Source organism: Homo sapiens, chromosome 6 (genome assembly GCF_000001405.40).
Source record: "Homo sapiens chromosome 6, GRCh38.p14 Primary Assembly".
Taxonomy (NCBI): Eukaryota; Metazoa; Chordata; class Mammalia; order Primates; family Hominidae; genus Homo; species Homo sapiens.
The window spans coordinates 132,516,356-132,540,570 of record NC_000006.12 but is presented as its reverse complement, the minus strand read 5'-3'; the positions used below and the strand labels follow the sequence as shown (position 1 = coordinate 132,540,570).

Sequence of the window (24,215 nt, the reverse complement as noted above, 5' to 3'; positions counted from 1 at the left end):
AACACACAAATAGGAAACAGCTTAATCTTGTGTAAAGTATTTCCAAACTGGTTCATCTATAAAATGTATGATATGTAATGTGTGTGTAGCTCCATTTACTCAGTTACTTTTTCTTTTCATTTTATAAAACAAACCTATTACAGAATTGTCTGGGAAAATCAGCTACCTAAACAAAGATTTCAGGCAGTGATTCAGGGATTTGAGAAGGGAAACCATTTTATTATTTGTCTTTTCAAATTTTGACTGTAGCTGGAAACACTTAATGTATACTTGTAATTAAAAAGAATTAAAATTTATATTGATTGAGAAATGTATAATCAGATGGGAAAACTGAAGCTGTTCCTAGAGTGTATAATACCAATTTGGATATTTGCTATTTTGAAACAATCCTTTGTTATATTTGGATTACTCAGCTTTATACAATTTCAATGCCAAATACAATATCTGGTTCAAAGTAAGACCTCAAAAGTGAAAAACTGCTCATTTGAATTGGCTTTTAAAAATTCTTATTTTATTTAAAATTACTAAAAAAAGAACTACAGAAACCATCGTTTTGTTCACATGCTTATTCCACAATAATAAATTATATTCTCCAAAAGTAAGATGTAGTGTGTATTCACATAATCATTAAACATTTTCTTTGCTAACACAGTCTTTGTAAAATGAGCAGGAAGAACTGCCAGGGTTCAGAAAATAAAAGTGCTCAAGCATTTTTCAGATGATCTCTGAGCACTAGAAAGTTCTGCATTCCAGCTCTCTATAAAGTCTTTTTACATTAAAATAAAGTTTCAAGAATTTATAATACTGTGTCTACTTCTCAAGCAAGATATACGTCAAAGATTTTTGTCCTCAGAGAATCTAACTTATAAGTAAAGCAGGAGCTTTACTTTCCCCTTTGTGTATTTTGGACAGCTGAACACTGATCATGAGTGTGGGAGAAACTACAAAACTTGAAAATATTTGAAGATACGAGTAGGAATCTCAGAGAAGAAAGTAAGGAACCAGAAAACCATAAAAGAATGCTAAATGGAAAAGAATCAGCAAATCTTATTCACTTATCACTAAATCTAAAATATGTCAAAATACATGAAGACAACAAATGCTTTAGAACAACTGTTGAATGTATTGTCCTACAACTTGGCATATGATCATGCTTGCCTCTCTATGTCCAAGTGTTTATTTTTGCAGTTGACCTTAATTTCAAGTTAGTTTTGAGGTCTCTACAGTAATGTTTTTAATCTGTCTCTACTTCTTCAGAAAATAAATTAGTTGTTGACGAATCAGTCCTTAAGACCTTGCCGCTTACAATAAGTTTTATTGCCTTCCCAAACCATTGGTAAAAGAAAGCATAAATCAAGGGGTTCATAGCTGAATTATAATAAACACACCAAACTAAAATCTCATAAACATAAGGAGGAGTTATAAAATTCATATAAGCATCAATCACTGCATCAACGAGGTATGGTAGCCAAGAGACAAGAAATGCTGCCATAGCAATTCCCAAGGTTTTGGCAGCCTTTCTCTCTCTTTTTGCTACTCTTTCCTTGTAACTCTCTGAGGAGGACTGAGCTTGGCTGGCTGTACTTTCTATCTTCCTAGCCTGATGCTTGGCCACCAAAAATATCTTACTGTATATAAACACCATGGCGACATTGGGTATAAAGAATAGAAGAAAACAAAGTAGGACCCAGTTTTGATTCAGTGGAGCCTGGCAGCCTCCTACACAGGTTAGAGCAACTACTAATTCCTCAATTCCTTCTTCGTTGGCTCCCGTGTAAAAGATCGAAAAGCTGTATGTGACAGAAAAGAACCAGGAAAGAACAATGCATATCCCTGAAACTGACACAGTAAACTTGGTTGGATAGGTCAGAGGATCAGTAACAGCAATGTATCTATCAACAGAGATACAGCATAAATGAAATAAAGAAGCAAAACAGAAGGATGTGTCAAAACATGTATGGAATTTACAGTAACTGTCCCCAAAGTACCAACAGCTCTCCACAGACCTCACTGTGCTGAAGGGCATCACAGTGACTCCCACCAAGAAGTCAGCACAGGCCAGCGACGCAATCAGAAAGTTTGTAGGTGTGTGCAGTTGTTTGAAGTGAAGGATAGCAATCATGACCAGTAAGTTTCCAAACGCTGCCAGCACAGCCCCAAAACCAAGGACGGCGTAGAGGATAGATCGAGGACCTGGCGAGTAAGGAGTTTTAATGCAGGATTCGTTCACGTTCTTGTAACACAGCTCCACAGCCTCAGCTTGGGAGAAATTGTTCACCATTGCTTTCTTGTTTGAACTATTTTAAAGTTCTCAAATTCCTGCTTTCAAAAATTTTTTTAAAAGGAAGCAATTTCAAAGTCTTCTAGGAGGGGAAAATATCTCCAGTTAAAATGATAAAAGTTTGTGATTTTTCTACCAGTGCTTTTCCATATTAACTATAACGTCTTGATCTTTCTAAAAAGTGTTCCCACATTCACATTTTAATATATTTAGAGTGGAAATATGTTGCAGAAAGCCATTAAAAATATAGTCAAATATATTCCTAATTAAATGGCTGGCAATACACTTAGTCCAATGAGATATATATATAAAATTTACTAATCATTAAAAAATTATTTTCTTGTGTGTTAGTTTATCTTCTGAAAAATCTCATCTATAACCACCACAGTTGAGAAGTAATTAGGCTATCAAAGGCTGAGCTTTATTTCTTACATTATCTCCCCTGAGCAGCACTTTAGCAGTAATGACAAACTATGCTTCATTTATTCATGAAGGAAGAGGTAAATTACATCTCCTTCAAACTATACCTTCAAAATCCCTATGGTATGGAGTGTGAAGATTAAGGAAAAGTTTCCTCATAATAGCTTTAAACTTACTTTAGGAACACATTTCTTCTACTACTTATGTTTTCAGAATTTGTATTTTTTTTCTTTTCATATTCTTTCACGATTCAGACAGCTTGAGATGATTTAGAGAAAAAATCTTATTGAACTGATATTAGTCAGTGTAAAAGTATTTTCCAGGCTAATAGGCAGTGTTAGGTGTCTAAAATTAATAATTAAAATAAGCAATAACTCACCTAACATCTTACCTTCCCATCCTTAGAAAAACGGTGTAGTTTTAAACCTATCACAGAAGAATAGACAAAAACTGGGGTGGACCGGAGGGATGTTTTTAAATAAGCCATATCCTTGAAGAATAGATTCATGCTGAGTCATCCAAGGTGCAAATAGAGACCAACTTGATTTCTCTAGGTGTATGAGTCTGTTCGTATACTGAAGCTTAGGGTCTTAAGAAGGTTTAAAGAGTTCACCTAACAACAGTGAATGGTTTTACTTCATTTAACCATGAATAAGTGCAACCTTGCATTGGAATCTTAATCTTTGAGCTAGAGACTGAACTACTTTTATTGGCATTAACCCTATGCCATGGGTCTGGGCTCTGTTGAAAGTACAGATTCCTAGAAAAGGTTACATGCATACACATAAGTCAAATATATTCCTAAATAAATGGCTACTCTTTCCTTGTAACTCTCTGAGGAGGACTGAGCTTTTCTTTATAAGGCTACAGTTTTTAGGTAATAGGCTTCACTAGTCTGTGAATTTTAAATTTTGTGTGTGTGTGTTTGTGTGTATACAGGTGTGTGTACAGGTATTTTCAGGTTTCTCTAGTATTTTCTGGCTTCACTGATCTATGAGTTTTAAATCAATTTATTTTTACTTTTATTTCCCAGTTCTTTCTTACCAGAGCCCTCACTAGTTTGATGGCACAAGACTTAATCTCCTCCTTGCAAAATGTCTCCTTGTTACTCCTAGGATTCCTCAGAAAAGTGCATCTGTGTGCACACAAGTCAGTCTACCCAATAAAATCACATTCCATACCCCCATGTTCTCCTCTTCTTCCCCAGGTCTCCTAAGGTCCACTGCATCTCTTGTTTTACTCTCAAAATGGCTAAAAAAATTCCACCACTGCCACATACGTGGTGCCCTGCCTGAGATTCTGAATGTCTATTTAAAGAATGCTATTTTCCTAAACTTTAAAAATCCCCACTTCCCTAACACCCAATTGAGGATGCTGTTGTGCAAAAAGATAGTGACCACTTTCCTCAGTTTTTTATACTTGAGCCCTAAAATAGCAGCCTTTAGTCTCGTAGAGTGTCTTAAAACTGGCCCATTCCTGGAAGCCAAGACACTTGAGTAGCAAGGTGCATCCCTAAGCCCCACATCTTGGTGTTTAATACCTTTATCCAGTAAGAGCAACTAGGGCTTCTTTATTATTCAAAGAAATGATTCATTCCTGCATGGGACAGGGAAGGAACTACAGGAGGAAACTGGAACACATTTGGATGCCAAAAATTAAGAAAGTTTTTTTAAATGTTGGGGTATTTCATAAGAACGATGTTGCTAGCATAAATGAGCTCCTACTGACTGAATGTGGGACAATTTGGGTCCTTATATGATTAGGGGGAATAAAAAGTATAAAACACTGAAAAAGAATCAATGATGCCACACTAATCAGATATAGATAAAATGATTGATAAATAGATAGATAGATAGATAGATAGATAGATAGATGACAAATGAAAACTCTTTCTTACAATAGAATGCAAAGTGCTAACTGATACATATGAAGAGAGTATAAATTTGAAACATTATTGTTTTGGAACCGTCACGTTAATATTGATTTAGGCAACAATCATCACTAGATGCTAAATTGAGGAGGGGTGGAGTTTTATGAGAATCAGGTAGTACTTATATGGTTTAAAGTGTTTCCCAGAAATTGCTTATTAGCTGCAAAAGAAAAAATAGTAGCTATATAGTGGAGACATCAAACAAGACCCTGACAAGGTGATCAAAATTAATATCCCCAATGAAGGGCAGATGGCCAGGTATGCCTCTGGATAAGATACTATGAGATGCACAAAATATACTGTACATGGTATTCCAGTCAGGAATGCATAACCTGGATTTAATCATGAAGAAATTTCAGACAAACCCAAGTTGAGAAACATCCTATTTTTAGAAGGGTGGAGGGCAGTGGGGGTTGAAGTTATATTCTTCAAAAATGTTAATGTTGTAAAAGCCTAAAGAACTTCTCCAGAATAAAGGAGACTAAAGAGCAAGAGAATTGGGGGGCCAAGACGGGCAGATCATGAGGTCAGGAGATCAAGACCATCCTGGCTAACACGGTGAAACCCCGTCTCTACTAAAAATACAAAAAAAAAAAAACCCACCAAAATTAGTCGGGTGTGATGGCAGGTGCCTGTAGTCCCAGCTACTCAGGAGGCTGAGGCAGGAGAATTGCTTGAACCTGGGAGGCAGAGGTTGCGGTGAGCCAAGATTGTGCCACTGTACTCCAGCCTGGGTGACAGAGCAAGACTCTGTTTCAAAAAAAAAGAAGTATGTGATCCTAGAATGGAGTGCCTTACTAGGTCAACTGACAAAATTAGAATATGGGTGGTACTTGGTAAAGATATTTTATCAATGTTAAATTGCTGATTGCTTGATTTTTATGTCCTTGTATAAACAAAAAAATGTTAAATTGCTGAAATATTTAGGCCTCAACTTACTCTCAGATGACTCCAAAAAAACTGTATATTATCGGGGGAATCTGCCCCCAATATTTCAACGTAGGTTCTTTCTATTTTTCATAAGTGTTGGCCAGCTGAGAAATAAAGAGAAAGAGTACAAAGAGAGGAATTTTACAGCTGGGCCTCTGGGGGTGACATCACATATTGGTAGGACCATGATGCCCCTCTGAGCCACAAAACCAGCAGGTTTTTATTAACAACTTCAAAAGGGGAGGGGGTGTACAAACAGGGAGAGGTCACAAAGATCACATGCTTCAAAGGACAAAAAGGAGAACAAAGATCACATGCTTTTGAGGAAACAGGACCAGGGCAAAATCAGAAACTCCTGATAAGGGTCTATGTTCAGTGGTGCACATATCGTCTTGATAAACATCTTAACAGAAAACAGGGTTCAAGAGCAGAGAACCAGTCTGACCTCAAATTCACCAGGATGGGATTTTTCCCCACCCTAGTAAGCCTGAGGGTACTGCAGGAGACCAGGGCATATTTCAGTCCTTATCTCAACCGCATAAGACAGACCCTCCCAGAGCAGCCATTTATAGACCTCCCCACAGGAATGCAATTCTTTTCCTAGAGTCTTAATATTAATATTCCTTGCCAGGAAAAGAATTTAGTGATATCTCTTCTACTTGCACATCTGTTTATAGGCTTTCTGCAAGAAGAAAAATATGGCTCTTTTTGCCCGACCCCACAGGCAGTCAGACCTTATGGTTGTCTTCCCTTGTTCCCTAAAAATCACTGTTATTCTGTTCTTTTTCAAGGAGCACTGATTTCATATTGTTCAAACTCACATGTTTTACAATCAATTTGTACAGTTAGATACATCCCAGTGGTCCTGAGGTAACGTACATCCTCAGCTTATGAAGATAACAGGATTAAGAGATTAAAATAAGACAGGCATAAAAAATTATAAAAGTATTAATTTTGGGAACTGATAAATGTCCATATTAAAATGAAATCTTCACAATTTATGTTCAGAGATTGAAGTAAAGACAGGCATAAGAAATTATAAAAGTATTAATTTTGGGAACTGATATATGTCCATATTAAAATGAAATCTTCACAATTTATGTTCCTCTGCCACAGCTCCAGCCAGTCTCTCCATTCAGGGTCCCTGACTTCCTGCCACAGTACATACACAGGGATAAAGATGGAGAGAGAGAACAAATGTTAGAGCAAATGGAGCAAAGTTCAAATAGGTGAATCTAGGTAAAGGGAATATAAATGTGCTTTGCACAATCTTGCACAAATTTCTGTAGCTTTAAAATTATTTCCAGATAAAAACTTCCTTTTACAAAAAGCAATATTCAAAAACTGAGTATTTAGTATATCCTGTCCATTCATCATCTTGTGCAAGCCACTCGCAAACCCCCACCACCACACCCAAATAAAACTCTACAAACTGTGGTTCAGGTTCTCTGCCTCAATTAACCTCTGCTTTCCCCAACACCATTACTCCCAACGTGAAAAGCTTTCAGACGCAGTCTCATTTCAATATAATGCTACAATTTCACTGCCAAAGTGTAAGACTTAATGTAGATATTTGTATTTCTGGTAACTTCATGATTTCTTTGAGAATAACAAAGAATGTAAAATTGCAATATATTTGAATGGTCATTTTGCTATTCTATTGATTTCCCTGCAAAAATGAAGATGAGTCTGTGCTCCAAAGCTGTATTGATGCTCTGTTTTCTAAGATGGGAAATTAACTGTAAATTTTAAACAAGTGTTTTCTACCTGTTGCCAAATACTTCTAGTCATCAAAATTTTTAAAAATACAGTTCTTTAAGCAGGGCTATCCATTAAACATACACATACATACTTATTTCTGCCTATCTTTATCACTGTCCCCACCCCAACCCAGCCCTCTCTCTGAGACTGTTTAACAAGCAAGAATAATTACGAAAAATACTTCTTTCCTATAATCATCATCTTCACGAATCCTTTAACACAAAGAAAAATAGGATGTGACAGAATCCAAGCACACTGGTCTGGTGAAAAAATACAGTTATAGGACTTGCTACAGTCTGTTACATTTGTGCCTAATTGCCTAAGAAAAAAATCTTGAAATAAATTCTCATCAATGCAACAGAAATGTTTTCTACAGATATAATTGATTAACTAGGAAGGGCACAGACACAGAAATACCACCAGTCTTCATTGACAAGAAATAATGATTAACAGCTCCTTTAAACCCATTTTTACTTTCCTCAGTGCTAGAAATTCTCAGCAACATGTCACTCTTTTTCTATATATATAATTTTAACTTTTATTTTAGATTCAGAGGGTACATGTGCAAGTGTATTAGTCATTTTCATGCTGCTGATAAAAACATATCCAAGACTGGGTAATTTATAAAGAAAAAGAGATTTAATGGGCTCACAGTTCCACATGGCTGGGGAGGCCTCACAATCATGGCAGAAGGTGAAAGGCATGTCTTACATGGTGGCAGGCAAGAGAGAACGAGAGCCAAGTGAAAGGGAAAACTCCTTATAAAACCATTAGATCTCGTGAGACTTACTCACTACCACAAGAACAGTATGGTGGAAACTGTCCCCATAATTCAATAATCTCCTACCAGTTCCCTTCCACGACACATGGGAATTGTGGAAATTACAATTCAAGGTGAAATTTGGGTGGGGACACAGCCAAACCATATCATTTCACCTTGGCCCCTCCCAAATCTTATGTCCTCACATTTCAAAAACAATCATGCCTTCCCAACAGTCCCCTAAAGTCTTAACTTATTCAGCATTAACTCAATAGTCCACAGTCCAAAGCCTCATCTGAGACAAGGCAAGTCCCTTCTGCCTATGCGCCTGTAAAATTGAAAGCAAGGTAGTTACTTCCTAGTTACAATGAGGGTACAGACAATGAGGGTACAGACATTGGATAAATACACCCATTTCAAATGGGAGCAATTGGTAAAAACAAAGGGGCTATAAGCCCCATGCAAGTCCAAAATCCAGTGGGGCAATCAAACCTTAAAGCTTCAAAATTTTATCTTTTGACTCCATGTCTCACATCTAGGTCATGCTGATACAACAGGTGGGTTCCCATGGTCTTGGGTTCTTATGTCTTCCTGTAAATTATGGGGTCTTCCTGAAACCTTTATAATAAATTAAGTTTCTGCCTAAAACAATCTGGAAATGGATTTGATGTTGTGGATGAGAAAAAACGAAAATTCCAGGATCATTTCTTACATTCTGGCCTATATAAGCTGGTAGAGGAAAAAGCTTGGGTAGTGGATGGAAGAGGAGGAGATTTCCAGTTGGCACGTTTTGATGTTGAGATGCCTTTGAACAATCAGATTGAGGACTGTCCAATAAATGGATAGATCTGTGTAGAGCTGAAAAGACTAGAGAGATTTATTTGGGGGCCATAATCTTATATGTCACAATTAATCACCCAGGGAACTAAGAGTTAAGGAAATGGTTATTTATTATGAATCTTCTGTGTGTCAGTTATCTACCAAACATCATTGTAAAGTAATGAAATTGCTTTTCTCATGTCACATGCAAGTCAAATAATTACAATCCTGCACTATGGCCTGAACAAAATTGTTCAAGATGCTGTATTTTACTTTATGACTTATGGAAGAAGTTAGGTATAATGCATTACTCTGTTCTCATGCTGCTAATAAAGACATACCCAAGACTGGTTAATTTATAAAAGAAAAAAGTTTAACGGACTCACAGTTCCACATGGCTGGGGAGGCCTCACAATCATAGTGGAAGATGAAGAAAGAGCAAAGGGATGTGTTACATGGCAGCAGGCAAGAGAGACCGTGTGCAGGGGAACTTCTCTTTATAAAACCATCAGATCTCGTGAGACTTATTGACTGTCATGAGAACAGCACAGGAAAGTCCTGCCCCCCATGATTCGATTATATCCCACCAGGTACCTCCCATGACACACGGGGATTATGGGAGCTACAATTCAAGACGAGATTTGGGTGGGGATACAGCCAAACCATATCATATAGTAATGGTTCTGAAATTTCTATTATTAGATTCTTTCTAGACCAAAATCTAATTAATATTCTTACAGACTTCAAATGATATAATGGTTTTTTTCAACAATTTAAAAAAAATTTCCACTTCTTGATCAGTATCAGAAGAAATATTAAGTCATGATAGTTTTCTTAACCTTTTTTTAAAAGTGTCTTCAAATACTAATTTTTGAGGAAAGTTTATTCATAATTTAGAAATAATTTACTTAATAATATTATAAATTATGATGATTGAAAATAAGATCTTTAAAGTTGTAGGTAAAAATATAAAGGGGATTGTGATATATTACTCATTATTTCTGGGCATTTCTTTATTGCTGAACTATTTTTAAGATAACAGCTTCAGTCTAGTTTATGGCCCTCTTATTTTCCCATACTCTGCTGCCCCCTAGCGGTCAATCTGAACAATACTAGGTTGATCAAATGAGGGGACGCCAAAGTTAAACAGGTAAATGCCCCAAACGGAAACATCTGTTTTAAAATTATCCCCATGCCAAATACTTTAACGTATGGCTACTCTCTACGCTACTCTTTCCCTTCCCTGCAGAACCCAGGAGGTGGAGGTTGCAGTGAGCTGAGATCATGCCACTGCGCTCGAGCCTGGGCAACAGAGCGAGTCTCAGTCTCGAAAAAAAAAAAAAGAAAGAAAGAAAACAAACCTGTTTTCAAAGGTGCTTTTGAGGGTCCTTTCCATCATTTCATGAACCTCCTAAAAGACACCGTATTCTCGGATTTTTTTCCATGCTTGCGAAGTTTCCAGAAACTGCATCAGCATTAAGCAATTAACTGCGGAAATGACTAGTGATAAAGACAAAATTGACAAAGAAATTTGGTTATTTCTGTGGTCTGCAATAACTTAACCATAATTATGATTGACAGCATATACTTGGACATCTTAGAATTTTAGACATTCCATTCAACTTGGAACATATATTAATAACATTCACTAAAATATAACCTAAAGAGGGTTAAACATATTTTTTTATTTTGACAATGCTTCCCATGTAACTCAACATGTCAAATAATCCTGTTTACCTCTCTTTTGGGATGCTTCAGGGGCTCTCTGTTGCATCCCAAAGTTAGAGGTCAGAAAAGACCATTTTGAAGCCGAAATTTGATTGTAGGAAGCCTGTCAGATACGTTAAAAGTTTAAAACACTTGCTATTACAAAATAGAATTCCAGGTCACCACAGGTCACTATTATTACCTGGAATCTTTAAAAAGGCAAAAACCTGGCCGGGCGCCGTCGCTCGCGTCTGTAATCCCAGCGCTTTGGAAGGCCAAGACGGGCGGATCACGAGGTCAGGAGATCGAGACCATCCTGGCTAACAAGGTGAAACCCTGTCTCTACTAAAAAAAATACAAAAAAATTAGCCGGGCATGATGGCAGGCGCCTGTAGTCCCAGCTACTCGGGAGGCTGAGGCAGGAGAATGGCGTGAACCCAGGAGGCAGAGTTTGCAGTGAGCAGAGTTCGCCCCACTGCACTCCAGCCTGGGCGACAGAGCGAGACGCCGTCTCAAAAAAAAAAAAAAAAAGGCAAAAACCTTTACTCATTGATAGAGGGAAGACTTAGCTTTCCAAACAATCTGTCTCTTTTCTTTTCCTTCTTTTTCCTGTGGTTTATTCAAAAGGCAAACAAAAATCTTTCATTTGTCTTTAATATTCTATGAAAGTCTTACTCAAGAGAGAAAGCCAAATTTCACCCATGCATTAGTGTACTATTAATGTCAACCCCAATTTTTAATAACATCTTATAGACAAATCTATCCTATTTTAATCAGTTTGACCATAAGGTGAGATTTTCATAAACCTTTAATAACCCTTTACAAATTTTTGTTGAAGAGATCAGTGCTCTAAGAGAACCTTGTTGTGCTTTTATTCCAATGTTCAGTTTATGGAAAACCTGTATAATACCCCTTTAAATTTAGCCAATATGTTCACACACAGAATTTCTTTTACAAGATTAATTTTTCACAAACCTTCCACAACTTGCTCAAACCTTCAGCTTTATCCTTTCTAAATTAAAACAGTCCATTAGCCCTTTAATCTAGGCAAACAAAAAACGAACAACAAAAAGAAAACACACACATTCCCATGTTTTCTTATGATCTTTTATCAAAAGCACATTTCACCTTACTCACACAGCTTGCATGTAAAACTGTTTTTTCAGTAGTCTTATTTACATGTTACAATGTTAACTCTTAGTGATTTTTATTTTTGGTGAAAAACCTACTAAGTGGATTTTAATTATGTACTAGGTGTGAAGCCTAGGGCCCAGACAGATAAAGTCTGACTTTTTTTTTAGCATAGCCAGGGGCTTGAGTAACTCCACGTCTCCAGACCTTACCTGGAATCTAATGGCTCCAAAGCAGTTACGTTGAACAATTTTCAAAAGTTAAAGAAGCAGTTTATTACCTTAAAGAATTTAGCAAACCTAATGTCTGACCTGCCTAATTTAGACCAACTATCTTTATTTTACCAATAGTATTTAAAACTCTTTATTTCCCAAAGCTTACTACAGTCACGTAAAGTGAAAGGCATTACCGTTTTTATTTTTCTGAAAAAAAAATTGATTTAAGTGCTTATTATTATTAAGCCAATTAATCAGAGCTCTTTTATTTATAAATGTCACACACACAACACATATAAACACCCAGAAAAACAGGAGGATCCAGTATTGATAAGACTTTTCATTTGCCAGTTTTCAAGTTTCTTAATTGTATTACTGGCTTCAGAGTGGAATCCTTGGAAAAACAGGGCTAGGAAGACATCAGTTTCTAGGGCCTAATTAGCAGGCACATCCTGAGGGCAAAAGAGATTCCCAAAATTAAGGGTCTTATTTTTATACCAGATCCTGGATCCGTCCCCCTACCCAAAAAAGAGGGAATCAACTGATCTCCCATGGGAGTCATAAAAAGAGGGAATCAATCGATCTCCCATGGGAGTCATAAAAAGAGTGACTCAACCGATCTTTCATGGGAGTCATAAAAAGAGTGACTCAACCGATCTCCCATGGGAGTCATAAAAAGAGGAAATCAGCCGATCTCCCATGGGAGTCATCTCTCAGTGGGGGCAGGGGGATGGGGACATTTCCATACCTTCTAGGTGGCCAAGAGCACGCTTCTCTGATCCAAATGTGCAAAGAGCCATGTATTCCCCCATAACTGACATTAGCTATCCCCAAAAGTATATTTAGCCTTAATTCTTGAGGTTTCATGGGGAAAACAAAGGTTTTTCCCAAAACAGGGTCTGTGGCACCTCCTGTTTTTCCCAAGGAGTCCCAGGCTTTCCGAAGTTCCTCTCATGTGTGCATCAAGAGTGGCAAGGAGACAAATGAAGAAAAACAATTCAAATGGCTGAAAAGAAAAAAAAATGTTTTCCTGAAAAAAACGAGATCCAAGAATAGAAAAAGCCATGAAGGCCTTTCAAATACACCTATAGCTTGAATATCTATTTTAATTAAGCTGACTTTTAACCAAATATCTTATTGCTAGACTCTAGCCAGAACAAACAAAAATTATTTCTGGCTTTTGAACTTACCAAAGGTACCTCCCAAGTCCTCAGAGAAAGGAAAATTCAAGATGGGAAGTCAGAAGTTGTTCATAAAGGGGAAGAGAATCAATAAATGGCAAAAGTCACAGAGATATCGAACGAGAAAGGGCTCATCCCCTAAGCCAGGAATTGAGCCCTGGCCACCACTGTGAAAAGATAAAGCCTTAGCCACCAAGCTAAGCATTGGGCAGTTTCCATCGCTCTTCCCAGAAGGAGCTGAAAGCAGTCACTTTTGAGCTTGCAATAGCTTTTAACTGATTAAGATAATTTTTAGAGCTAACTATGATATGAACCCCAAAATTCCTGTTTTCCTGGATGGCAGAGACCAAGAGAAACTACCACCATGTGGTTATAGGGTGAAGCTCCCAAGGACATAAAACAAGATAGGAGGGAAATCTCAACTAGCTTTTTTTGTTTCAGGCACCTGCAGCAAAGCATGTACCTGACCAGTTTGCCGGGCTGGCTTGAACAGTGAGTTTATGGGGGTCCTAGGCCCACATTCTATCCTAAGGACCTCTTTTTATGACAGAACAACACAGAAAGACAAATTCTTAGCACAAAGCAAACCAGATTCACTACAGCTTAAGATTACTCTCATGAATCTTTTTTCTTATTAATTAAAATTTTGCAGAGGAGACAGTGATTTTTACCATTCCTACAACTGGTTTGCAAAGAGACAGAGAGGCCAGAAGTCTGGCTGGTAAGAAATCCTTACCATTTTTGCTGGCATGCCACGTTTCTGGGTTCCCTTTCCTTGAGTCATCCTAGTGACCCTGCTGGCTGCACCATAGCCCTGGGGGCCAAGCTGCAACACAAAGGAAAATCATCTTTTTTGGTTTCATGGACCCACAGGCAGAAGCCTCTCAATTTTGTAAGATGCCACCTGAGGTATTGCATGGGGGAATCGAATTAATATTTTCCATTCTGGCCAGGGTAAAATACATGTGGCAAAACATAGACGTTAGCCACTCTGCCTAGCACTGAATATCACACTGGCAAGGTTCAAACTTGCCCCCTGTTGGGCCCTGTCTGTCATCTTTGATCCACTCAGAGTCAGGTGGAATGATTTTCTGACCTGGAGTTTCAACATGTGGTCTCTGGAAATGATGAAAGAGCAGACAGTTGCCCTAAGTAACAAAAAAGATAGAAAAGAGAAAGGAGAGAAAGGGAGAAAAACACTGCCTGCGGCAGGGTGGGGAAGGCAAGGAGCTGAGGGGAAGCCAGAGAAATACCCACCCATTGCAGCGTCGCTGAATCAAAAGTTCAGGCAGCCACTCATCAGTCACAAAGGGATCTTTTCTTCCAGTCCCATGAGCTCTCAAGTTTCCCCTCTGGGGAGGGAAAAGTTCCCATATCCCATGGTCCTGTCCTTGCCTAATCCGGTCACCCATTGTCATTAACAAAAAGGGCAAGGCAGATTAATCCAGAGAGAATAGTCATTAACACCCTATAGTGCCAAATCCACTTTTAACAAAGAGGGATTTTACTGAGGGGAGAGCCTCTAACCCCCTACATCTTACCAGGGACTCTGACTTTCCTAAGTTGGGCCTTGAACCCAAACCCATACAGGTTTCCAGGCAAAATGTACCCCACTACTTACCCGAAGTCAGCCAATTGGTGCTGCAGTCTATATCCTTTGGATTGACATAGTAACTAAGCCAAAAGGTTAGTAGATTTGAGTTTTTAAAAAATCAGTTGCTTAACCTTTTTATTTGGCTTTTGTAAAGTCTTTAAATAAAAAATTGAGCTTTTATTAGAAGCTTCTGCATATCAACAGGCATCTATAGATGAGACTAATTTGGGAGCCCACATTTTCAAATGCACTTCAGTGCAGTGTTATTTGGAACGTTCTACTGTAAGTTATCTTTAGTAAGATTTTGCCATTTCTGTAAGACTCTGCTTCTTCCGGGGCCTAATGTGTAAGCTGGAAGGAATTCAGTTCTTCAGAAATTAAAGATCCCATTTTTACCTGAAATATTGGGCTTTCTCAGGTTCCCTTGACCAACTTAGCCACTCATTTCTTTTCCTATTTAAGCGCACAAGAAAAATGAAACAAAGGGGTAGAACACAAAAATCCCTGCAAATTTCCAAAAGCCAAATTTTACACCCCCTGCAATTATGCCATTTACTACCAGTTTCTTTCTGACTGAGTCAGATGTGAGAGACCTCTAACTGGATCCAAGCCAGTTAATTACGGGATCCATTCTGATCTTGGACCCAGTCCAGTGTCTGTCGCGACTTCCAAATCCAGCTTGGATCAGAAATTTGCTCAAAGAAACTCAGAGTGTTCAAAACACAAATCTGTGGAGCCTCAGAATCCGAGCGAGAACTTAACCATATTCTCTAGCTGCTCTGAGAGAGCAACAGACACAATGGGTCCAGCGGGTACCTCCCTTGGTCACGCAGTGCTCATGGGGGTCGTTAGAAGCTCTACTTTAGATCCAATTTCTGATGCCATCTGATAAAAGAAAAACTTCAGCCAAATTAAATTTAAAGGAATTTGATTGAGCCAAGAAGATTCATGAACTGGGCAGCCTCCCAAACTAGAGTAAATTCTGAGACTCCAGTGCAGCCACATAGAGGAAGAAGATTTATGGACAGAAAAAAGGAAAGTGACATACAGAAGATAGGAGTAAGCACAAAAACAGCTGGATTGGTGACAGCCCCGCATTTGCCTTAACTGAACACGGTTCAAACAGTTGGCTACATTTGGCCAAAACTCAGTGATTGGTACAAGTGTAGGCTATGATCTGTACCTCCACTTGTTTGTAGTTCACGATGTACGGAGAAACCTTTAGGCTGAACTTAAAATACATAAGGAGGCAGCTTTAGGCTAAACTTGTTGTAACACTTTGCTCTTGCTACTGTAGGATTACTGTAAAACCTTAGTAAGTAAAGTTTTGCCTTAGGCTCTATTTTTCAAGACACTTGGACTAAGACTTCTGTGAATTGTCTATTATGAGCTTTTACTAAGTTTTCTAGTGTGGTGTCTTGGTTTGGTTTCTCTAGAAGCAGAAACTTGGGCTCAGAATGGAGAATTTGGAAAGAATTCTCACAGGAGAAGGGCAGTAAGAGAAGTTGGTTCCACAGCATGTTCTGAGAAAGACTGTGGTCTTGGCTGGAGACTTTTGGTTGGATCCCACAGGGAAGCTCTGGAGCACAAGTTGCACCACAGAATTAATTCCAACGTAAGTCCAGGGACTGATGTCAATTTGTCATTGGTTGAGGTTGGGGGGAGTCAGCGCATATTGACTCTGGGTGGGGCAGCTCCCTTGGGCCAAGGGCAATTTTCTAGAGTAGAAGGTAGCTGTGATTGGTGCTTAGCTGATTACTCACAGCAACTATGGATTGGTTACTGAGGCAGTCAAAGAGAACCTGGCTGAGGTGTCAATAACATCTACCACAGGAGGTTTGTCTATCTTATACTTTATAACAGGATGTAAAACATTTGTATTAGAGCTTGCAGGCATTTTCTCTTCATTTGTCATTCTCTTTCACTTTGTTTATGATTTTAATAAGACATTGTAAATGTTTGTGCCATAAATACAAATCATCTTCTTTAAGGTTCTTGCTTTTCTTGCCCTTTTCACTCAAAGTAGAAAAACAATTATTTGGATAGAAGGAATATGATACAGGTCATAGACCTGGCTCTACACAAAGAACTGAAGAGATTTAGAAATGGAATATGTAAAGGTAAAATAAAATTTTTTTCTCTTATTTTAAGTTACTCTAAAAGATGAATGACTTTGAGAGTATAACAATACTCTACATACATACAAAACCATACAATATTGTTTTCTGTATAACAATAGCAGAAGAAATGAGAAGAAGGATTTGGGAATATACTGTTATAATGTCCTTGCAAATACCTCATTTGAAAGTAGATTTAGGTTAATTTTTTAAAGAGGTAAAAATAATTTTTAGGAGGAATACACATAATAAGTCAATAGAGAAGATAAAATAGAATCATTTAAAAATTCCTGATAAAACCCAGGAAAGAAAGAAAAAGAGGAAAAATAAAAATAGAACAGACAACAGCTAGAGAGATGGTAGATTTTAATTCAAATTGTCAATAACCTTAAATTTAAATGATCTATACATACTAGTTGAAAGACAAAGAATTTAAAACAGAATAAAAAAACAAGACACAACTCTGCTGTCTACAAAATACTCACTTGTAATGTAAAGGCATGGATAGGACAAACATAAAAAGATGAAGATAGATCATATCAAACTGAATCAAATGAAATCTGAAGTAGCTACAATAACTTCAAACAAAATAGATGTCAAGATAAGGATTATTATTAGAGATAAAGAGGGGTACTATATAATAATAAAGGGGTCAATTCATCAGGAAGACATAACAATCCTAAAAGTGTTTACATATAACAACAGAACTTCAAAACACATAGGGAAAATCCTGAAAGATATGAAAGAAAAAGTAGAGAAATTTACAGTTCTAGTTGGAGACTTCAACCCTCCTCTCTTAGTAATTGATGAAATAAGTAGGGAGAATATCAGCAAAATCCCCCAAACACTACCAACTAACTTGAACTAATTTACACTTATAAAATATTCCACCCAACAGCAATATTACTCTTTCTTTTGTAGTGTACATGAAATACTCATTGATCATATTCTGGGCCAGCAAACAAAACTTAACAAATTTAAAAGAATATAAATCATACAAAGTATGTTTTCTGACCATAAAAATATACCAAATATTAATAAAATAAAATTATCTTAAACACCTCAAATATTTGGAAAATTAAACAATACATTTCTAAAAATCACCATGGGTCAAGAGGGTGTCTTAAGGGTTATTTAAAAAATAGTTTGAATGAAATGAAAGTAAAAATTCCAACATATCAAAATGTGTGTGACGCAGCTAAATCAGTACTTAAATGAAAATATATAGCAGTAAATGCTTACATAAGAAAAGAAGAAAGATCTCAAGTCAGTAACTTAAGCTTCCAGCTTAAGAAACAAGAGAAAAAAGGAGCAAATTAAACTTAAAGCAAGTAGAAGGAAGGAAATAAATATTAGGACAAAACTAAGTAAAATTGAAAACCAAAAAATAATAGAAAAAAAATCAATGGAACCAAAAGTTTAAAAAAATCGATAGTATTAATAAACCTGTTTCCAGGCTAAGAGATAAAAAGAGAGAAGATGCAAATTACAGTATCAGAAATAGAAGAAAGAATATTACTACTGATCCTGACACATCAAAGAGAGAATGGGGAATGCTACAAACAACCCTGTACATATAAATTCAACAACTTAGATGAAATGGACAAACCTCTTAAAAGAAACAAACTACCAAAACTCACTCAAGAAGAGATAGATCAACTGAATGGTCCTATATGTAATGAATGTGCTGTATAGTTAAAAGTCTTTAAAAACATATAAAGTAAGGCCCATATGGTTTCACTGGTGAATCCTCCTGATATTTAAGGACAAAATAAAGCCAATCCTACAAAATCTTTTTCAGAAAATAGAAAAGGAGGGGACACATTCCATTTATATGAGATCAGCATTGTCATGATGCTGAAACCAGGCAAAAACATTATAAGAAAAAGACAAGCAAAAACTCCAGACAATAGCCCTCAAAAATACAAATACAAGCATTATCAACAATATATTAGCAAATAAAATCCAGCAATATATAATAAGAATAATATATCACCACCAAGTGGGATTAATCCTAGCAACGCAAGGCTGGCTCAATATTTGAAAATCAATAACTATCTATTCACCACATTAACAGACTAAAAAGTAAAAGTATGTCATCAATAGGTGGAGAAAAAGCATTTGACAAAACTTAACATTAATTAATGATTAAAATTCTCAGCAAACTAGAAGTAGGAGAAAACATCCTTAACCTAGGAAAGGAAATCTTAAAAAACCTACAGCAAACTTCATGCTGTTCATCCTGCTTAGTGGTGAGAAACTGAATGCTTTCCTCCTAAGCAGAAACCCAGCACAAATGTCCTCTCTCGTTAGTACCATTCAGTGTCATAATGGAAGTTCTAATTAGTTTGACAGAGCAAGAAAAACAAATAAAATGCATACAGAATAAGAAAAAAATAAAACTATATTCACAGATTATATTTTTTGTGGGGAAAATAGTGATTTTATTTTAAATGCCAATCTGCCACGTAACTTCTGACTAACCCCAAGTCCAGGAATGCCGCCAAAATGTCTTGCTGATGTATTACTTTTTATTTAGAAATACCTATTTATTGTAAGTTTTCCTCCAAAACCTCCCTTGATGCTGTTACAGAAATCTTAGGCCCTGATGCTCATAGCCACCTGCACATTCCTTCCAGAGTACATATACTTTTCCCTCAAGATACATGCCCTGGGTCTCAGGGTTTGCAGTGCAGAGAACTATGTGTCTTGTGGCCACCCAAGACCATGCTGCTGTCTGTAAGTTCCCTCTAATAAGTCACCCAATACCAATGAACTAGATTTGTCTGCCTCCTTCTTTGGTTTCTTGGCTTCTTTGGCATTTGGGGGTCACTTTTTATATATACCCTTTCACAGAACAACCGTCTATGTAGAAAGTTCCAAATAATACACAAGCTCATAAAACTAATACATTCCTTTAGTAAGGTCACAGAATACATGGATGATACACAAAAACCAATAATATTTCCATATTTCAGCAATGAAGAAGTAAAAATTAAAATTTAAAAATACATTATAATAGTACCCAAACAAATGAATAAATTATGTATGACTCACAAAATATGTGCAGAATCTGTATATTGTAAGTTACAAAACACTGATGAAAAACAATATAAGAAAATCCAAATAGATGTGGAGATATACTATGTTTATGAATTGAAAATCTCAATATTAAGATGTCAGTTCTTCCCAATGTGTTCTGTAAAGTCAAAACAATCCCAATCAAATTCCAGCATGATTTTGTAGATATTGACTAGCTGCTTCTAAAATTTCTACAGAAAAGCCAAGAAACTGAAATAATCAAACAATTCCGGAAAACAAAAAAGTCAGAGGACTCATATTATCCAATTTCAAAACTTACTCTAGAGCTTCAGTAATCAAGACAGCATGATGTCGGAGAAAATATATGCATAGATTAATAGAAGAGAATATGAAAAATAGAGAGAGGTTCACAGAAACATAGTCAACTGAGTTTTGGCAAAAATGCAAAGGCAATTCAATGGAGAAAAGATAGACTTTTCAACAAAGGTACTGAAATAATTGGACATTCATATGCAAAAAAACAAATGAAATGAACCTTAACAGATACCTGATACATTCTACAAAAATTAACTCAAAATGAATTGTAAACCTGTATGTGAAATGTAAAACCATAAACCTTTGAGAATAAAATATAGGAAAAATTTGTATAACTTTGGGTTTGGTGATGAGCTTTTAAATTAATCACTAAAGGCATAATTTATAAAACAAAAATATGGCAACCTAAAATTTATCAAAATTAAAGACTTATTTCTCCATGAAAGACACCATTAAGAGAATGAGCTGGGTGTGGTGGCATGTGCATATAGTTCTAGCTACTTGGGAGGCTGAGAAGAAAGGATTGCTTGAGCCCAGAAGTTTAAAAAGTTGTATGTCCAACAATCAGGCCTATGTATAGCCCCTGCATTCTAGTCTGGGCAACATAGCCAGATCCCAGATCTTTTCTGAAAGAAAATTTAAAAAATTTTAAAAGAAGAGAATGAGAAGATAAGCTACAGAGCTACAGACTAGGAGAAAATACATGTAAATGATATATTTGATAAAGTACCAGAATACAAAAATAATTCTTAAAACTCAACAGTGGGAAGACAACCCAATAAAAAGCAGGCAAAAGATTTGAATTAACATTTCACTAAAGAAGACAGATGGATTTCAAATAAGCATACATAAAATCACAATGACATGCCACTACACACCCATGAGAATGAAAAAAAAATGTTTTTCAATTCAACAATATCAAAAAGTGACAAAGAAGTAGAGTAACAGAAATCCTCAATCATTGCTGATGGGAATGCAAAATGATACAGCCACCTTGGAAAACAATTTGGAAGTATTTTGTAAAATTAAATGTAGAGCCAGAATTGCCATCTTCCAGTAATTTGCCAAAATGATTAACACAAAGGGAAAGAGGAGAGGCACCTGATACATGTTCTCTAGGCCTTTTAGAAAACATGGAGTTGTTCCTTTGGTCACATACATGCGAATCTACAAGAAAGGTTATACCGTAGTCATCAAGAGGTTGGGTGCTGTTCAAAAATGAATGCCCCACAACTATCACCATGGAAAAACTGGAAGAGTCTACAATGTAACCCAGCATACTGTTGGCACTGTTGTAAACAAACAAGTTAACGGCATGATTCTTGCCAAGATAATTGATGTGCATATTGAGCATATTAAGTACTCTAAGTGCCGAGACAGCTTCCTCAAACACGTGAAGGAAAACGATCAGAAAAGGATCTCAAGGAGAAAGTCACCTGAGTTCAATTAAAGCAGCAGCCTGCTCCATCCAGAGAAGCACACTGTGTGAGAACCAATAAGAAGGAGGCTGCTAGAACTTATTTCCTATGAATTCATGCCATAATAGGTGTAAAAAAAATACCTGTAAATTGTAAAAACATTTCTCTTCATTGAGTAGACGTGTGGTGGCCCCTCCCCCGGAGCAATATTTAAAGCAAAAATAAATGAATAAATATACACTTATACAGTCCAACAGACCTACTTCTAGATATTCACTCAAATGATTGAAAACTTCTATTTTTACCAAAATCTGTATTTAAGTATTTATAGAAGTTTTATTCATAATTGCCAAAAATTGGAAACAACCAACAGGTGAATGGATAAATAAGCTGTGTTATATCCAAACAATGGAATATTATTCAGCCACAAAAAAAAACAAACTATAGATTTATACAACAATGTGGATGTATCTTAAATGCATTCTGCTAAGTGAAAGAAATCAGACCCAAAAGGTTATATATTGTATGATTGAATTTATAGGACATTCTGGAAAAGGCAAAACTCTGGTGATAGAAAACATAAGTGGTTGCCAAGGGTGGGAGGAGGGGGATGGGTTGAATAAGGGTTGTTGTGAAAGGGAATTTTCAGTATGGTAGAACTGTTCTCTATGGTATTGGAGTTATGGATACATTACTCTATATATCTGTCAAAAATCCACAGAACTATATACCACAAACAATGAGCTTTATACAAATTTAAAAAATCAATCAGTATATTTGTGGATCATAGGATAAAATGCAGATCTATGACAACTGAATTTAACTGCAAAGTCAACATAACCTAATTTCACTGAAGGGGATGGGTAAAGAGCCGACCTTGGTGATTTTTAGAAAACATTGTTTTGACTCAATATTATAAGGCTAAAGACAAAAAGAATTGTACATAAACACTGCACTAAAGATTTTTTTCTCACACAGAGTAGGAGTTAGCAATTCTGAAGCTATTAGGTTGGTGCAAAGGTAATTGCGGTTTAATGGCAAAAACCACAATTACCTTTGCACCAACCTAATTTTTTACATTATAGAAATAAGAACATAAATGGTAGATAATGGAAGCTAGGTTTCTCACTTCTAGCGAAAGAAGCTAAAAATTAGGACAAGGGAAGGCTAGAATGACCCCTATAATGTTGGATTAGAATTGGGAATGCCTAGATGAACTCGTGTTTATATATATAGATAAAATCTGATATAGCTATGGATATGTAAAACAACTGGAAAACAACTTGGCAGTTTCTTGTAAAATTAAATTTATAGACATACTTTATACAAGGCTTATACTGCATATAATGTATACTGTATACATTTCTCTATGGATCAATTCCCTGATTCCTTACCCCAACTCACACAAACCCCACCTCTGCCCAGTCCAAGCACTTTTATTTTTACCAAATATATTTTGGGGCATGCAGCCAACATGGGGATGGCATGAAGCCTGGAGTAAATATCCTACATACATGAATTAGTATATATAAATTTATTTCCTAGCTCTGTCCATTGAGGGGAGCGTAGAAGCACTGACACCCTAGTAACAATGAGAAGGTTAGTGCCTTGATCTTGATTTCTTTTCTTTTCTTCTTTTTGGTAGGGTGGGGGACAGGGTCTCACTCTGTTGTCCACACTGCAGTGCAGTGGCATGATCTTGGCTCACTGCAGCCTTGACCTCTTGGGCTCAGGCAATCCTCCCACCTCAGCCTCCTGAGTAGCTGGGACTATAGCTACTGTGCACATCACCACACCCAGCTAATTTTTGTAGAGATGGGTGTAATAGCCAAGGTTCTCTAGTGGAACAGAATTAATGGAATACATATATATATATATATATATATATATATATATATATATATATATATATATGAGTTTATTAAGTATGAACTCACATGATCACAAGGTCCCATAGGCTGTCTGCAGGCTAAGGAGCAAGGAGAGCCAGTCCGAGTTCCAAAACTGAAGAACTTGGATGCTCAGGGGCAGGAAGCGTTCAGCACGGGAGAAAGATATAGGGTGGGAGGCTAGGCTAGTCTAGCCTTTTCACATTTTTCTGCCTGCTTTATATTTGCTGGCAGCTGATTAGATGGTGCCCACCAGATTAAGGGTGGGCCTGTGTTCTCCAGCCCACTGACTCAAATGTTAATCTCTGTTGGCGACATCTTCACAGACACACCCAAGATCAATACTTTGCATCCTTCAATCCAATCAAGTTGACACTCAGTATTAACCATCACAACAGGGTTTTGCCCCATTGCCTAGGCTGGCCTCGAACTTCTGGGCTCAAATGATCTGCCTGCCTTCGCCTTCCAAAGTGCTGGGTTTACAGGTGTGAGCCATGCTACTGTGCCTGGTGGTCCTGGCCTTTGATTTCTAAATAGCTTTTTCCAATAAAAAGAAGAAGTGCTTAATAGTAAAATGACTGATTCTAGAGCTGGAGCAGGGAGAATACAAGCTAATTTAGTTGGTACTGCTATACCAATGCTGATTTCTTAGTTTTGACAAGTGGACCATGGTTATGTAAGATGTTAACATTAAGGAAACATTAG

The 24,215-nt window shown here is 36.9% G+C and overlaps 1 protein-coding gene and 1 pseudogene across 1 annotated transcript, besides 1 other annotated feature; one reads left to right on the top strand and one right to left on the bottom strand.

The window, feature by feature from the left end:
• Positions 1–1,234: 1,234 nt before the first annotated feature.
• TAAR9 (trace amine associated receptor 9) lies at positions 1,235–2,294 on the bottom strand. The gene has a single exon (NM_175057.4). The coding sequence runs from the start codon at positions 2,279–2,281 to the stop codon at positions 1,235–1,237; it is 1,047 nt and encodes a 348-aa protein (NP_778227.3). The 5' UTR covers positions 2,282–2,294.
• Positions 12,289–13,488: an enhancer, noted in NCBI's record as "P300/CBP strongly-dependent group 1 enhancer chr6:132848222-132849421 (GRCh37/hg19 assembly coordinates)". NCBI's record gives its function as "activates an origin of replication core promoter dependent on BRD2, BRD4, P300/CBP, MED14 and CDK7 cofactors, with strong dependence on P300/CBP, by STARR-seq in HCT116 cells {active_cell/tissue: HCT116}" and the evidence as "EXISTENCE:reporter gene assay evidence [ECO:0000049][PMID:35650434]".
• On the top strand, positions 21,240–21,761 carry RPL21P66 (ribosomal protein L21 pseudogene 66; annotated as a pseudogene).

What these genes read in the sequence shown, in the direction of transcription:
- TAAR9 (NM_175057.4), bottom strand. Translation starts at nt 2,281, where the DNA reads ATGGTGAACAATTTCTCCCAAGCTGAGGCTGTGGAGCTGTGTTACAAG.